The sequence below is a fragment of the Homo sapiens genome, chromosome 9 (assembly GCF_000001405.40).
Source record: "Homo sapiens chromosome 9, GRCh38.p14 Primary Assembly".
In the NCBI taxonomy this organism is placed as follows: Eukaryota; Metazoa; Chordata; class Mammalia; order Primates; family Hominidae; genus Homo; species Homo sapiens.
In genome coordinates, this window is record NC_000009.12 from 97,155,248 (window position 1) to 97,170,984 (window position 15,737).

A 15,737-nucleotide genomic window follows, 5' to 3' on the forward strand; every position below is an offset into this window, starting at 1 on the left:
TCTCCTCCAAGACACAGGGAGGGACAGTCAGCCTCAGGCTCCAGGTACCCAGCTTCACACTCGCCCCCCAAGGCCGTGTGGGCCCATCTCAAAGGAGACAGTGAGGTGGCCTGGCACTGCCTAGACATGCCATGTAGCCTATTCCTGAGTGTCAGAGTGGGAGGAAGGGAGGGACATTTGGCAGACGAGACACCCTGTGCTGCTGGGTCTCCCAGGGCCCTTCCCGCAGAGCCCTGATCTGGAGACACAGCACAGAGGCTGCAGGGAAACTAATCCAGAACCCTTGAGGCTGAGCCAGGGACCACATGAGGACTGTCCCCAGACAGCTAGAAGGCCCTTTGCTAGTTTCTTGGTACCTCAGTGGATGGGGCAGCGGTTCTTCTGTTGGGGACTAGTGAGCGCGTGCTGGGGAGGGCTCTCCTGTGCTTCCTCAGTGGCTCCAACTCTGCTTATAAGAAAAATTACTCATTCTAGGGCTAGGGCAGAGAAAACACAAGATTAGTTTAGAACATCTTGTGCCAGAAATTAAAAAAGTGCTGACAGAGTAACGGGGACAAATCAAAAAGACATAAAGTCAGCTTGAAATGTCTACCACTGGCCTAATCTCAGGGAATTGGAGCACCAGAATCATGAGCTTTGCCTTCACCTTTATTTATTGGTTTTATTTCACCATGTAGAACAAAGAAGAGAATAAGAAAAATAATCATCTGGCAACCATCACAGTAACACTTGTTCAAACACAAGTCATCCATGAAATGCTAAATCTAGTGTGTTTTGAGGAGTAACCAGATATTTACAGAGCCTCAAAGTATCTCCACAAAAAATACTGTTGAACTACAAAAAGAAAATTGTAACATTAGTATGGACGAACCTGGCAGATACTCTTTAAGTCTCCTACTATATATAGTAATAAAAACTGTAAAATGCAAAGAAGCCTTCGATGACCTTTACTAAAGTATCAATGATGACTTGGTTGTTTGGCTGTTTAAACAGCTGGCATTCAGGCAATTTGAGTAGGTCAAACTCAATAATACTGGTGTTCATTTGCAAGATCCACTTAAAACTTAAGGAGGCTAAAAAACATCATTTAAAATAACATATAAATATTCATCATACATGATATGAAAATATTCTACTTTAGTAAAGATTGTGATGTTTTATATTTTATGAGAAACAATTAAAATTTCATGTAAATAGCCCAGTAATAAAGTTTTATGATCTTTTAATTCATGCTTTTCCTTAAGATTTTATGGTTAAATATTCTCTTCATTAGATGTGGCTTACCAGTGGATTCTAGAGAAGAAAGGAGATGGGAGCAAGTGTTCAACACAGCAAAAGCTGGAAAGAAAAAGAAAGAATTATGTTCTTTACCTAAAACATTTCAGTTAACAAAGTGTAAGTTTAAAATCTAAAGAGTTGAGAACGTTATCAGAGTTAATAAGAATGAGAAATATGTACGTACAATTACAATACAAAATTACTATTAAATAATTTACACATGGCATTAATTCTAATTGTGGTTAAATATCACAGCTTTTTCATTCTTCATTCATGTACTCAACAGCCACATGCTAAGGTACTAGAACGAGCACTGGAATTACAAGATGAAGATGGCATGGTCCACCTCCCAATAGTCATATGCTATAACCTAAAAGACAGGCAGGTAATGTCCATATAGAGTCATAAATACCATGTCAGGTATACAGCAGGGCACTACTGGAACACACAGAAGGGACATCTATCCCACTTTTGTGTCAATATCATGGGCTTTCTGGTGGAGGGGATGGATAAGTTGATGCCTGAAGGACAAGGAAAATCTTGCCAGATAGAGGGAAGAGGCGAAAGCAAAGAGCCTGAGGTAACAAAGAGCCCTGTGGAGTTCTACTCTGTCCACTTTGGTGCTAGAGCAAAGGGCAGAGTGCAGTAAGTGGCAAGAGACAAGGCTGAGTAACCTGACAAGAATTACATTGACATGGGTGTTTTTATTTCATGGTGAAATTTTTGGAACTTTTCCTGAGAACAGATGTAAGCCAATGACACAGTAAATGACAGGATATTTAAAATGTCACCTGTCAAGTGACTGCTTATGAAGGGTTATTGCTCAGCTAAGTATTTCTAAATGAATCTGAGGCCTGTTGGCCTTCAATCTCTACCAAAATCCTGAGAACCTGATGATGCCTTTGTTTTTGGAGAATCGTTTCAGTGTGCCAGCTGACAGTTCCATGAGGATGGCAAAAGTGAAGAAATTGTAGAGCCAGTAAAAAAGAGATGGATACACTTCTTGGGAATTTTTTAAGCTATGGAACAGTAAAAAGAGATGGATACACTTCTTGGGAATTTTTTAAGCTATGAATTAATGGTGCATAAGTATACTCTTCACTGTTAAAGTTTTTGTTTTCACATCTTTCATTAGATATGTGTAAGAAAAAGATACCATAGTATCTACTAACCCAACAATGAAAAGGAATGCCATTTGCTATTTACACTTTATTACTAAAATAAACCTAAATTTAATTAATACATTTTGGCAACATACTTTTCTTTGTTTCTGTAATTATTTGTTCTACACAGTCCGGCTCCATCTAAAATAAGTAAAAAAACATGATAATGTTTAAGTTAAACAAGAGACATTATCATGAGATTAATATATCACTTACAAAATGTGGCCTTTAGTATTTTTAGTGACTAGACATAACATGAAGTTTGCTTAAATAGAAAAATAATCACATAAGTAAAGTAAAATTTCTACTTATTTTAAGTTGAGATAATAGAGGATGTTTCTGTGTAATGCTGTTTAGAGTAATCTGACAAAAATAGATAATATTGGTCTATTAGATATAAATAATTTTAGAAAAGTGGTGTTTTATTAGTACAAAGGTTAAACAATGGCCAGGCATGACACCTCATGCCTGTAATCCCAGCACTTTGGGAAGCAAAGGTGGGCAGATCATGAGGTCAAGAGATCGAGACCATCCTGGCCAACATGATGAAACCCTATCTCTACTAAAAATACAAAAATTAGCTGGGCGTGGTGGTGCGTGCCTCTAGTCTCAGCTACTTGGGAGGCTGAGGCAGGAAAATGGCTTGAACCCAGGAGGTGGAGGTTGCAGTGAGCCGAGATCGTGCCACTGCACTCCAGCCTAGTGAGAGAGCAAAACTCCATCTCAAAAAAAAAAGAAAAAAAAAAAGGTTAAACAATTAAAGTCATATTTTGCAATGAATGCATTGCTTTGAAATTCTTAGCAAAACTCTGTTCTTTATAAAAGTTTAATCCATTTTTTTACTTCAATAAATTTTTTCTTAAAAAGAAATTTATATTCTTTACTTATTAAAAAAATTTGTATAGTAAAGTTTTCTTTTTTTCTAGTTTGTATTCTAAATTAAAGTGGTACCTGTGTAAGTTTCTTCCAAAAGTATATTGAGGAATGCTGAGGTTTGGAGTAAAATTGAACCCATCACACAGGTAGTGAGCATAGGACCCAAGAAGCAGTTTCTCAACCCTGGCCCACTCTGTGCCTCCCCATTCTTATTTCCCGGTGTCTATTGCTCCCATGTTTATGTCAATGTGCACCTAATGTGTAGCTCCCACATATGAGTGAAAACGAGATATTTGGTTTCTGTTTCTGCGTTAGTTTGCTTAGGATAGTGGATTCCAGTTGTATCCATGTTGCTGCAAAGGACATGATTTTGTTCTTTTCATGGCTGCATAGTACTCCATGGTATATATGGAATTTTCCAATCTACCTTGGATTTTCAATCTACCTTGGGTGCACCTGGATTGACTCCATGTCTTTGCTATTGTGAATAGTGCTGCAATGAACATACATGTGCATGCATCTTTTTGTTACAATGGTTTATTTTCCTTTAGGTATACCCCTAGTATAGTAATGGGGTTGCTGCATGTGGGATTACACGTGCCTGTCACCACGCCTGGCTAATTTTTGTAGTTTTAGTAGAGATGGGGTTTCATCATGTTGGCCAGGCTGGTCTCAAACTGCTGACCTCAGGTGATCCACCTGCCTCTGCCTCCCAAACTGCTGGGATTATAGGCGTGAGCCACTGCACCTGGCCAAGCACAAAGCTTTTAACAGAAAAATGGAAATGAACCTTTCAATGTTTTGTTTATTTAATTCATAAAATGCACTTATTTTGGATTCTATTAAATAATAAATATCTATATGTGGTTAAGTGTTTGGTTGCCAGTCATTCACTTGTGATTATAGGTGGACAGAGTTAAGATGGTGCAAAGAAACTTTAGAAGTGGTATGGGCTGGGCACGGAGGTTCACCCCTGTAATCCCAGCATTTTGGGAGGCTGAGGTAGGTGGATCACAAGGTCAGGAGTTCAAGACCAGCCTGGCCAATGCAGTGAAATCCCATCTCTACTAAAAATACAAAAATTAGCCAGGTGTGGTGGCTGGCACCTGTAGCCCCAGCTACTTGGGAGGTTGAGGCAGGAGAATCACTTGAATCTGGGAGGCGGAGGTTGCAATGAGCTAAGTTCACACCACTGCACTCCAGCCTAGGCAACAGAGCGAGACTCCATCTCAAAAAAAAAAAAAAAAATGATATGACCCACAGACAAACTACAATCAAGTAGAGTAAGACAAAGCATCTCCAAGTATACCATCAGTTATTTGGCAATAACATGCAATTTCTAAAAGCTAACTTAAATGCAGCTTTTAAAGAAATTTTAAATATGTCAGTTTAGCCACATTTATTGAATAAAGTTAGCCAATGGGTGCCTCTTGAAAATGAGAGCTCTGGGGAGTTAAAAAATGTAAAGTTCCCATTTCCTTTCTGTGTTAACAAAGCCAGTTATAATCTTTAGTTAGCATGCATAAGTCAACAGAACAACTCAGTATTTCACCAAATTAAAAACAAGAATTATATTAGAGAAATGAAACCCAAAAGAGAAACGGTCACATAACTAACCTCAGTCAAGGAGTTCTTGCAGTTATTTGAAGTCTGTGGGTTTGAAGTAGGAATTCTTAGGGGCATTTTGGGAATATATTTTCTGTTGAGTCCTATACTATTAAGATTTTCAACACAAGGTAACTCTGGGTCTGGCCTCATAGGAAGAGTGCTGAGAAAATATCATCCGTTCTTTCTCCATAAGGAGCTTGGTGCTGATCACTGCTATTTTCTTATCTGATCTGTAAAGAGAGCAAAGACAAATGCTTAGTATTTCATTTTTCCTTGAATGATTCTTAGTGACTTGCATTTTTTGAAAAGTTGCCCTTAGAGTAAACCAAATTACCCACTAAACAGTGTTTTCACATTAATATGTGTGAGAGCATACCTCTTGTAAGTAATTATAATTTTAAAATCATTCTAAATAAGTCTATGTGTTTCTAAGTTGATTTCTACTGAACAAGCAGTTCAAAGTAGACAGGGAAGAGAAATGGCTATCAGTGATGTATGGCTCAGTAGGTAACCTAGCTGCCTTCTAAAATAGCTCTACTTGTAAGATTCTAAAGATTCCTTTAGAAATATTTGTATTTAAAGGGTAACTATGTGGGAAAATGATTGTGTTAATTTGCTCGACTATAAGAACCACTTCATTATAAATAATTATATCAAAGCATCATGTTGTACTCCTTAAATAATGTAGATTAAGAAAACTAAAATGAACAAAAATAATCTAGAAATACTTGTGTTTAGTAAACCAGTTTCATGTTTCACCCTTGTACATTTCACCCATTATCTAAGAACACTTAAGTATTTGGCACTGAGGAATAACTCAGAGCAACAACTCCTGGGGTAGAACTAGACTGGTTGGTGATCAAAAAGAACTAAAACATCTCTGAAGGCAATTAGCCCTCAACACTGTGACCAAGGCACTGGAGGTGGGGTTGTTCTTTCTGCCTTCCACACACCCCTTCAGGCTGAACAAAGTGTTATTTTTGAACCACCTTGTGGATTACACTTCTTTTCATTCCTGTGATAATTATTCCCTATTTCACAAGGATGCCTTTATGTAACATCTTGAAAATGTTATGCAAATAGTCTTTCTTGAGGCACCCTCTAGTGATAACACCTAAAGATCACAATCAAAAACAGTCCCTGCCTGAGTGCCAGGATGTGCCCAGAGTAGCAGTATCACTTGACACTTTGGGTTTAGGTTGTGATCTACCAAAAAATAAATTAAACTCGTTAATATTTCCATTTAGGGAAATTCTGACAAGTAATTTTATAACAAGATCACTTTGTTAATCATAAAGCTTCAAAAATACTTAGCGAAAAAAACTAACAGGTCAGGTTAACTACATGAGACTTTTCAGGGGAAAAAAGCCACATAAAAACAAAAAAGGAGAAGAGAGACAGAAACTATCCTTGATGAACATTTTAAAGGTAGGATTATTTACTAACATTATTTTCCAAAATTACATTATCAAATTAGCATTCACTTCCTACTGATCCCCTGAAGCCATCTCACTAAAAATTATGCTTTCAAAACAAATTAATGAGCTTAATTCATTTTCTATGAGTATATGTTTGGACTTACTTCATTATTTTTTCTGAGATGGAATTGTTAGCTTTCAATGCTACTGCAAAGGCTTCCTTATATTCTTCTAATTCAGTTGTAACCTCTTCATAAGCAGTTTTCATTTTGGAGAATTTACATTCCACATCTTTAACTGTGAGTTCCTTCTTTTTTAGTGAAGCCGTATTATCCTTGTTTAACTGCTCTAATTGTTTTTCATATTCTGCTTGTTCCTAAAATGAAAATACACTTTTAAAACAATTATAAGTTAATTACCATATGTTTGTTGCCTTTCATTTTGAATCAGTGATTCGAAGAGCAATTTTGAATATGTTAAAAAGAGGCTGAAGCTTAAAATATTTATCAGCAATATCAACAAAACTAATAACTGAATTCAGAATTAAGTCTGATTTATAAAAATTTGAAATCATAATTATGTTAGTATTAATGTAATCTGGTCCTATAAAAAGTAATAGAATCCACTTATAATTTTAAAAAGTGAACAATGAACAACGTAGCTTAAGACCAATTCAAAAGTATCATATAATTTCTAAATCACAGTTTTCTCTTATGCCAACTCATCTTAATTATCAAATCCCCCCTTTTACTCTATAGTGAGAATCATTACTTTGAAAGACTGATTTTGTTATAATAATAATGGAAATTTAAATATTTAAAAGGAAAAAACATCACTTTTTTTTCTAGAACTCTACAAAGAAATTGCCGTAAAAGAGGCAGAGGAAACACAATATATACATATCCAAAATATAGTTTGCAGTGAAATAAATGAAAGCCCATTACAGATAAACTTACCTGATTTTAAAACCTAACCTGTAAATGGATTTCTTCTAATTTTTCTATTGCCTGCATTGCCCTTTCATCCAGCTCCGATTTATATTCTTGTGCTTTACCAAGTTCTACCATATCTTTTTCCATATGTGTCTTAAGATTTAATACTTCTTCTTCCAACATCTTTTTATCCTTCTCAAGTTTTTCACATTTCTCTTGTACTTTTCTCATAGATAATAACTCCTGATGAAGAACTTCATTGTCTTTGGCCAAATTGACACATTTTGAAGATACAGCTTCCTTCTCGGCCATAAGATCATCAAATTGCATTAATAAAATAATAGAGCTTGATAATGAAGTAGGCTGAGAATAATCTAATACAAAACCAATAGCAAATTTTGAAATGCATTGACTTGCATTAAAATGTTATCTATAATGCAGTAGATTCTTCAAATGTGAACCCTTAAATTACTCAGAATTTTAAGAACAAAGTTAAAGCTACCATGAGTCACAAAAATATGCTTTACTGTCATCATCTTTGCCACGGAACTTTTGCACTTGCTTTTACTTTTATTTTTCTAATAATTCATTTTTGTTCCTCCTTAAATGGCACTAAGTTATCTCTTAGTAAAAAGTGTCTAACCCTCTTCCCTCATCATCATTCCCCAAAATTTGTCAAAAAAACTTTCAGAGATATCATATTGAGTTATTTAGGCCAAAGTCAATAAATGGCTCTCAGAATAAAACTTTGAAAATAGTATAATACTCTACACTAGGCATGGTAGCTCATGCTTGTAATCCCAGTACTTTAGGAGGCAGTGGCAGAAAGATCACTGGAGGTCAGGAATTTGAGATCAGCCAGAGCAACATAGTGAGACCCCCATCTCTACAAAAAAAAATTTTTTTTAAATTAGCCAGGCATGGTGGCTCAGGCCTGTAGACCCAGCTAGTTGGGAGACTGAGGCAAAAGGATGGCTTGTACCCAGAGTTCAGGGCTGCAGTGAATTATGACCACATCACAGCACTTCTGCCTGGATGATAGACAAAGACCATATCTCAAAAAAACACAAAATAATGAATCCTGTAAATAAGAATTCTGATACCATAAGCCTTTCCCCAAACCGCACAGGTTTCATGCTAATTTGAATTGCATTTTAAGAAGTAATGATTCTTGGGGTAAAGGCCATAGAATACAGCACCCAGAAATAAATCCACATATTTACAGCCAACTTATTTTGGAATAAGGTACCAAGAACATACATTGGGGAAAGGACACCCTCTTCAAATGAATGACACTGGGAAACTATCCATATGAGGAATGATACTAGCTTCCTATCTAACACCATATAGCAAAATAAACTCAGAATTGATTGAAGACTGAAATGTAAGGCCCAAAATTATCAAACTATTACAAGTAAACATAGGGAAAATGCTTCAGGACATTAGTCTGCACAAAGATTTGTATAGGTAAGACATCAGAAGCATAGGCAAAAAACAAATGATAGACAAATGGTACTACAACTGAGTGAAGAGAAAACCTGTAGAATGGAAGAAAATATTTTCAAGCTATTCATCTAATAAAAGACAAATATCCAAAATACACAAGGAACTCAAATACCCTGACAGTAAACAAAAATAATCTGAGTTCAAAACTAGGCAAAAGATCTGATTAGATATTTCTCTTTTTTTTAAGAGAAAAAAAGAAATACAAATGGCCAATAAATACATTTAAAAATGTTCAGTATCACTAATCATCAGGGAAATACAAATCAAACCTACAATGTGATATAATCTTGCTCCATTTCAATAAATGGCTGTCATAGAAAACACAAAAAAAAGTGCTGGTGAGGTTTCAGAGAACAGTGAACTCTTACATGCTGTTGGTGGGAAGGTAAATTAGTGCAGCTACTATAGAAAACAACATGAGGTTTTCTCAAAAAATGAACAATGGAACTGCCGAGGGAGCAACCCCACTAACTGGGTATTCAGGCGATAGAAAAGAAAACAATAGATCACAATGATACTTGTCCTCATATGTTTATTGTAGCACTATTCACAACAGCTAATGTATAAAATCAACCTACATGTCCATCAACAAATGAATGGACAAAAAAATTGTGGTACACATACACAATGGAATACTCACCATATAAAAAAATGAAATCCTCTTACTTGTAGCCACATGGATCAGTCTGGAGGATATTACATTAAGTGCAGACACAGAAAGATAAATACTGTACATTCGCACTCATGTGTGGGAGCTAAAGAAAAATTGAGGGCTGGGCAACATGGCTGATGCCTGTAATTTCCTAGCACTTTGAAACACCGAGGCAGGAGAATCACTTGAAGCCAAAAGTTCCAGAGCAGCCTGAGCAACATAGAGAGACATCTCTACAAAGTAAAAAATCAAACAGGTGCAATGGTGCACTCCCATAATCCTAGCTGCTCAGGAGGGGTGAGGTCAGAGGATCACATGGGCCCAAGAGTTTGAGGCTGCAGTGAGCTATGATCAAATCACCCTCTAGTCTGGATGACTACAGTTGCCCAGAGCCCAGACTACATTAGCAAGACCCTGTCTCTTAACAACAAAAAAGCTCATAGAAGTAGAGGGAGGGAGTCTGGTTAATGGATACAGAATTACAGTTAGATAAGAGGAATGAGTTCTGATGTTCTGTGGCATTGTAGGGTGAATATGGTTAACTATGATTTATTGAATATTTTTAAAAAGCTAGAAGATTTTGAATATTCACAATTCAAAGAAATGAAAAATGGTTGAAGTAGTAAGAAGTAGTAAACATGCTAGTTAGCTTGATCATTACGCACCATATAAATGTATCAAAATGTCACTCTATAGCCCATAATTATGTATATACATATCAATTAAAACAAAAGAGAATCTATATTCATCCCATTAAAAGAATAGAATATGGGTCATCCTTACTGATGGCCTTCTCCAAATGAATAGAATGCAGTACAAGGGATACCATGTGGCTTCCCTATCTCATCTCAGACTGCTTTCCCTTTGAACCCAGCCCCCAGATTGTGAGAGAGATCAGTCCACAAAGACAGCCTGGGAGTGCCAGTGTCAGTGTTCATGCTGCCTGCCCCAGCCAAGGTTCCAGCCAATGGCCAGCATCAACCATCAAACACATGGGTGAGCAAAGCTTCAGATGATTCAATTTCTCCAACTTCCTAGGGAAGCTTAGGGGAGCAGAGGCAAGCTGTCCTGGCCAATCTTTTTCCAAACCACAGGTTCATGAACAATATAAATGTTTTTCTTTTAAGCCACAAAACTCTGGGTAATTGTTAGAAAAATAAGTTTAAAAAAGAGACAACAGGAAACATAACTTATGTAGCAGAAAAGAGTCTCCTTTAAAATAGGATCTAATAAATGTTGAGATTAATTTATTGATGAGAAACATTATTGAGAAGCAGCAGATAACCAGGAGAGAGATGTAAGCTGCTGAGGAGGAACTTTTCCTAAAACCCCCTTCAATTATGAACTCTGATAACAAGGCAAGGGTGTCTCCTTACAATTTCCCCACAAGTTAGGAAATAAGACTGTGAAGCAAGAAGACGTATGATTTGAAAAACAACTGGAAATGCTTGGTTACATAACCAAAATCAGACATTTACCTGATTTCAATTAATGAAAATTCTAAAAGAAGAAGCTTTGAGTATTTATTAATCAATCTAGTATTCGATTTTCATTTTCCTTTTTTCTCAATGAGGAAATAAGGAGAAAATTATGGAATGACTTTTACTCTTCACAGAAGTAAAATAAACATAGCATACTTTGAGTGTTAAGACATCAAATGCAATTTCTCCTTTACCTTACTTCACATTTGTTTGTATGGAGACGTTAAGACCATCCCATCTCTATATTATACCACAATGCTTCTCTATAGCACACAACTTGGCTCTGAAATTTTGAAATTCAAAATACTAATCTACTATTTGTCTCTGATAAATTGCCTGAATATTACCTGATTTTTAAGTGCTGCACTCCTAAAACTTTTTCTTGGAATGAGTTAAACTTTTTGTTCCAAGAATCCTCTACTGAGCTAGAAAGCAGAGCTGTGCATCTCTGTTTCAGTAAAAGGAGGTCAATACAGAAACTGTGGTTTCTGAGAATGCAAGATCTGCACCAAGAAAAGGATTAGCCACAGTGCTACCCAAGAGAACCAGTTACCAGGTGGAAAGAGGATCTGCAAACTGAAAGATGATGACTTCACTTGATTTCCACTGAGGAAAGCTGGCAGCTCAGACTTAAACTTCTCCTTCTTGGATGGTAAACATCTATGGATGATTCTATGAATTATAATGAGTTAGTAAAACATAAGGCACCAAATAGTAGACTATGTCAGCAGATTCTGTGACCAAAATTTACTGAAAATGAAACTATAGAGGGAGGCACTGGATAAGAGACTAAGGGTTTGAATGGAGAAAAAAAGAAATAGTGTGTCTTGTAAGGCTGACTTCCCATCATGTCTTAGAGTAAGTAAGTTATAAGCTGGCCAGAGACTCCTTTGAGATACAAAAGGTGAAGTTAAAGATATTCTACTACATTTAATTTTTATTATGACATAAGATAACTGGTAATAGGCAACATGATTGAAAAAATTTTCTCATTAAATTTGATTTGGTCCTGGTATAAGAATAGACATAAACTAAGAATTGATAATCTAAAAATAAACCTGCACATTTACAGTCAATTGATTTTATACAAGGTTAACAAAAAAACAGAATAGGAAAAGCATAGACTTTTCAATAAATGATATTGGAACAACTGGGTATCCACGTGCAAAAAAAAATTATAAAGTTGGACTCTCACCTAATATCATATTTAAAAATTAACTCAAAATAAAACAGTTAAATGTAACAGCTAAAACTATAAAACTCTCAGAAGAAAACATTGGTATAAATCTTTGTGAAGATATAAAGATGGATAATAAGCACATTAATAGATGCTTAATGTAATTAGTCATTAGGAAAATGTAAATCAAAACCACCTTGTGGTATCACTTCACACCACAGGATGAAATCTTTGTTCAATAAAAAAAGAAAATAAGTGTTAGGAAAAATGTAAAGAGATTAAAGCCCTTAACCAATGCTGCTGGGGATGTAAAGTGGTGCAGCCACTTTGGAAAACAAACTGGCAGCTCCTCGAAAGGTTAAGCATGAAGTTACCATATGACCCAGAAATTCCAGTCATAAGTATATACTCCAGAAAAATAAAAACATATGCAAGCACAAAAACTCATACATAAATGTTTACAGCAGCATTATTATTATTTTTTTTTTGAGACGGAGTCTTGTTCTGTAGCCCAGGCCTGGAGTGCAGTGGCGTGATCTCAGCTTACAGCAACCTCTGCCTCCTGGGTCCAGGTTCAGGCAATTCTACTGCCTCAGTCTCCTGAGTAGCTGGGATTACAGGCATGCAACACCATGCCCAGCTAATTTTTGTATTTTTAGTAGAGACAGGGTTTCACCATGTTGGCCAGGATGCTCTTGAACTCCTGACCTCGTGATCCACCTGCCTTGGCCTCCCAAAGTGCTGGGATTACAGGTGTGAGCCACCACACCTGGCCTATAGCAGCATTATTAATAAGAATCAAAAACTGGAAAGAACCCAAAGGTCCATCACCTCATGAATGGTTACATAAAATGTTTGATGCATCCATACAATGGAATATTACTCAGCAATAAGAAGAAATTAAGTACTGATACTGATAGAAGCAGGAGACAGCAAAATGCCTAGGCAGATATGGAAGGGTCCCCAGAGAATCTCCAGGCACACAAGTGTCTACCACAGATAAAACATCTGGTGCAGATAAGGGAACCTGCACAGGGGCTTGCCTGGACATGCCAGCAGCAGACTGGAGGCCCACATGCACTGGGGAGCTGGGGTGGAGCCACCAAGAATTCATGCCTTATGCAGAGGAGGAGCCTGGCCTCTTCAGCTAATGTGTGCTGGTCCTGGTATTCAATTGTGAGGTGGAAATCTGTTTGCAGGACCCCTCTCTTTGCTGAGAGCTTCCCTTTCACTTAATAAATTCTGTCCTTTTCACCCTTCAATGTGTCCACATGGCTAATTTTTCCTGGTCATGAGAGAAGAACCCAGATTTAGCTGAACTAAGGAGCAAAAGCCCTGCATCAATACCTGCTACAGCACAGATGCAGCATGAAAAATTATGTTAAGTGAAATAAGCCAGTCACAGTAGACCACTTGCTTTTTATTTCAGAGGCTTATAGGCAAATCTATACAAAGAAGGTGAGTGGTTCCCTAGGGCTGAGGGAGGAAGGGAAAACTAGTGAAGATAGCTAAATGATGTGGGGTTTGTTTTTAGGGTGATGAAAATATTCTAAAATTGATTGTAATGATGATTACATAACTCTCTGAAAATACTAAAATTCAAAGACTTGTATATTTTAAAGGAGTGAATTGCATGGTGTGTTAATTATTTCTCAATAAACCTGTTACACCCCGAAATTTATTTGGTACTAGTGATCTGGAGACATGGGCTGCTTGGTTTCAGATCACTGGCCAGGGTTCAAAACATAAGAGAATCAACAGCATGTCTTTTGTATAGAAAAATATATACATATATATATTTTAAAGTATCCTTTTTATTAGTATCAAGTCTGTAAAATTAAATGAATAATCTTTCACTTCTGAAAGTACTGAGAGATTTATATTGAGGAGCAAGACCTTGTATTCTTTTGTCCCAATTTCTATCTAAAGGGTCTGGGAATCACACCCTTCAATCAAATCTCATCAGATGGGTTTTATTAACTCTTATAATGTGGCTTACTTTCTAACCTGATTCTGGCACAGCATCACAGAGAGAAGGAGCTGAAAAAAATCAAAGTATTTTACCCCCAAATATATAGTTTTTGACATATTTTGAAATGGCTGTTGCAGGGCCAAGAGATTCAAATGGCCGTACAAAGCTGTCTTTTGTGGGGGAATTTGCATCTGTAAGAAGTCTTCATTAATGTAGCCCAATCTCTCCCCTTCTAGGTCTTCCCAGATCTAGGGAAGATTAACTAAGATCCTGATGCATTTAAAGTCTGAAAAGATATATTTACCATCTATTTTCTCTGAGGGCTGCCAGCTAGGAGGCTTCATCTACATAATAAGAACCTTAACCTCCATAATGACCTTATCTTAATTAAGGCCGTCCTTTATACCTATTTCCAGTTTTAGACAACAGATTTTCTTTATCAATTGTCACCTAAAGAATCCTTAATACCCACCTATGACTTGTTAGCCCCTCTTTTTGATGTCCCACTTTTAGGCTGAGCCAATGTATGCCTTCCTCATATTGATTTATGATTTTCCCTACAACTCTGTCTGCTGGAAATGTACAAAACCAAACTGTAATGTGACTGTCTCATGAAACATTCTCCAGAGCTCTTGAGATTGGGTAATCCAGGGCCACAGTCACCATACTGGCTCAGAATCAACCTCCTTAAATGTATTTTGGCCGAATTTGGGTTTATCCATCATTAATATTTCTCCAAATTACATAATTGTAATCCCCAAACTGATTTAAAATTACCTTATGTTTAAATATGAATTATTGTATTATAAAGATAAATGTATTTGTATGTTCATTGCAGCATTATTCACAATAGCAAAGACATGGAATCAACCCAGATGTCCATCAATGATAGACAGGACAAAAAAATGTGGTGTATATACATCATGGAATACTATGGAGCCATACAAATGAATGAGATCATGCTTTTTGCAGGGACATGGATGAACTCGAAGCTGTTATCCTCAGCAAACTACTGCAGGAACAAAAAACCAAACACTGCATCTTCTCACTTATAAGTGGGAGGTGAATGATGAGAACACAAGGACTTGGGGAGGGGAACAACAAACACTGGGGCTTGTTGGGGTCAGGAGGGAGAGCATCAAAATTAATAGCTAATGCCTATGGGGCTTAATACCTAGGTGATGGATTGATATGTGCAGCAAACCATCATGGCACACATTTACCTATGTAACAAACCTGCACCTCTCGCACATGTAATCTAGACCTTAAGATAAAATAATAATTTTTTTAAATTACCTTCTGTTTTAGCTTCTTAAACAGAATATCCATTTTCAGTTGATCTGTATTTAAGTCTCCATGGCAACTGAAGTCTTCATTTCCAAATACATTTAACATATTTATTGTCGTTTCTAGGCATTTCTTACATCTGCAGAAATGTAAGAACTAGTAAGTCAAGTATTTTTAAGAGTAAATATTTAATAATTGTTTAAACAGATATTATGTTATGGCATATCAAAGAAACAAATCTATAAACTATGATCCTCTCAGTTTCAACTGAACATAGTTTGAAAGCATTCTATATGAAATTATAATCTTAGATAAATAATATGAAGAACAATTTTATGGCATATATGGCAGGTAAAGTGATATTATAGCCATACAGTTTTATTTTTT

At 36.5% G+C, this 15,737-nt stretch overlaps 1 pseudogene across 1 annotated transcript in view, besides 1 other annotated feature; it reads right to left on the reverse strand.

Annotated features, from left to right (window-relative positions):
* Positions 1-645: 645 nt before the first annotated feature.
* Positions 646-15,737, reverse strand: part of ANKRD18CP (ankyrin repeat domain 18C, pseudogene) — an 82,850-nt pseudogene continuing 67,758 nt past the window's right edge. The window contains exons 14-18 of the transcript NR_136286.1: positions 15,360-15,489; positions 7,318-7,599; positions 6,508-6,719; positions 4,935-5,155; positions 646-1,338 (exon numbers count right to left, since the gene is read on the reverse strand). The product of NR_136286.1 is annotated as an ankyrin repeat domain 18C, pseudogene (transcript). The remainder of the gene's footprint in view (positions 1,339-4,934; positions 5,156-6,507; positions 6,720-7,317; positions 7,600-15,359; positions 15,490-15,737) is intronic.
* Positions 13,023-13,272: an enhancer, noted in NCBI's record as "active region_28656". NCBI's record gives its function as "activates an Ori minimal core promoter by ATAC-STARR-seq in GM12878 lymphoblastoid cells {active_cell/tissue: GM12878}" and the evidence as "EXISTENCE:reporter gene assay evidence [ECO:0000049][PMID:35858748]".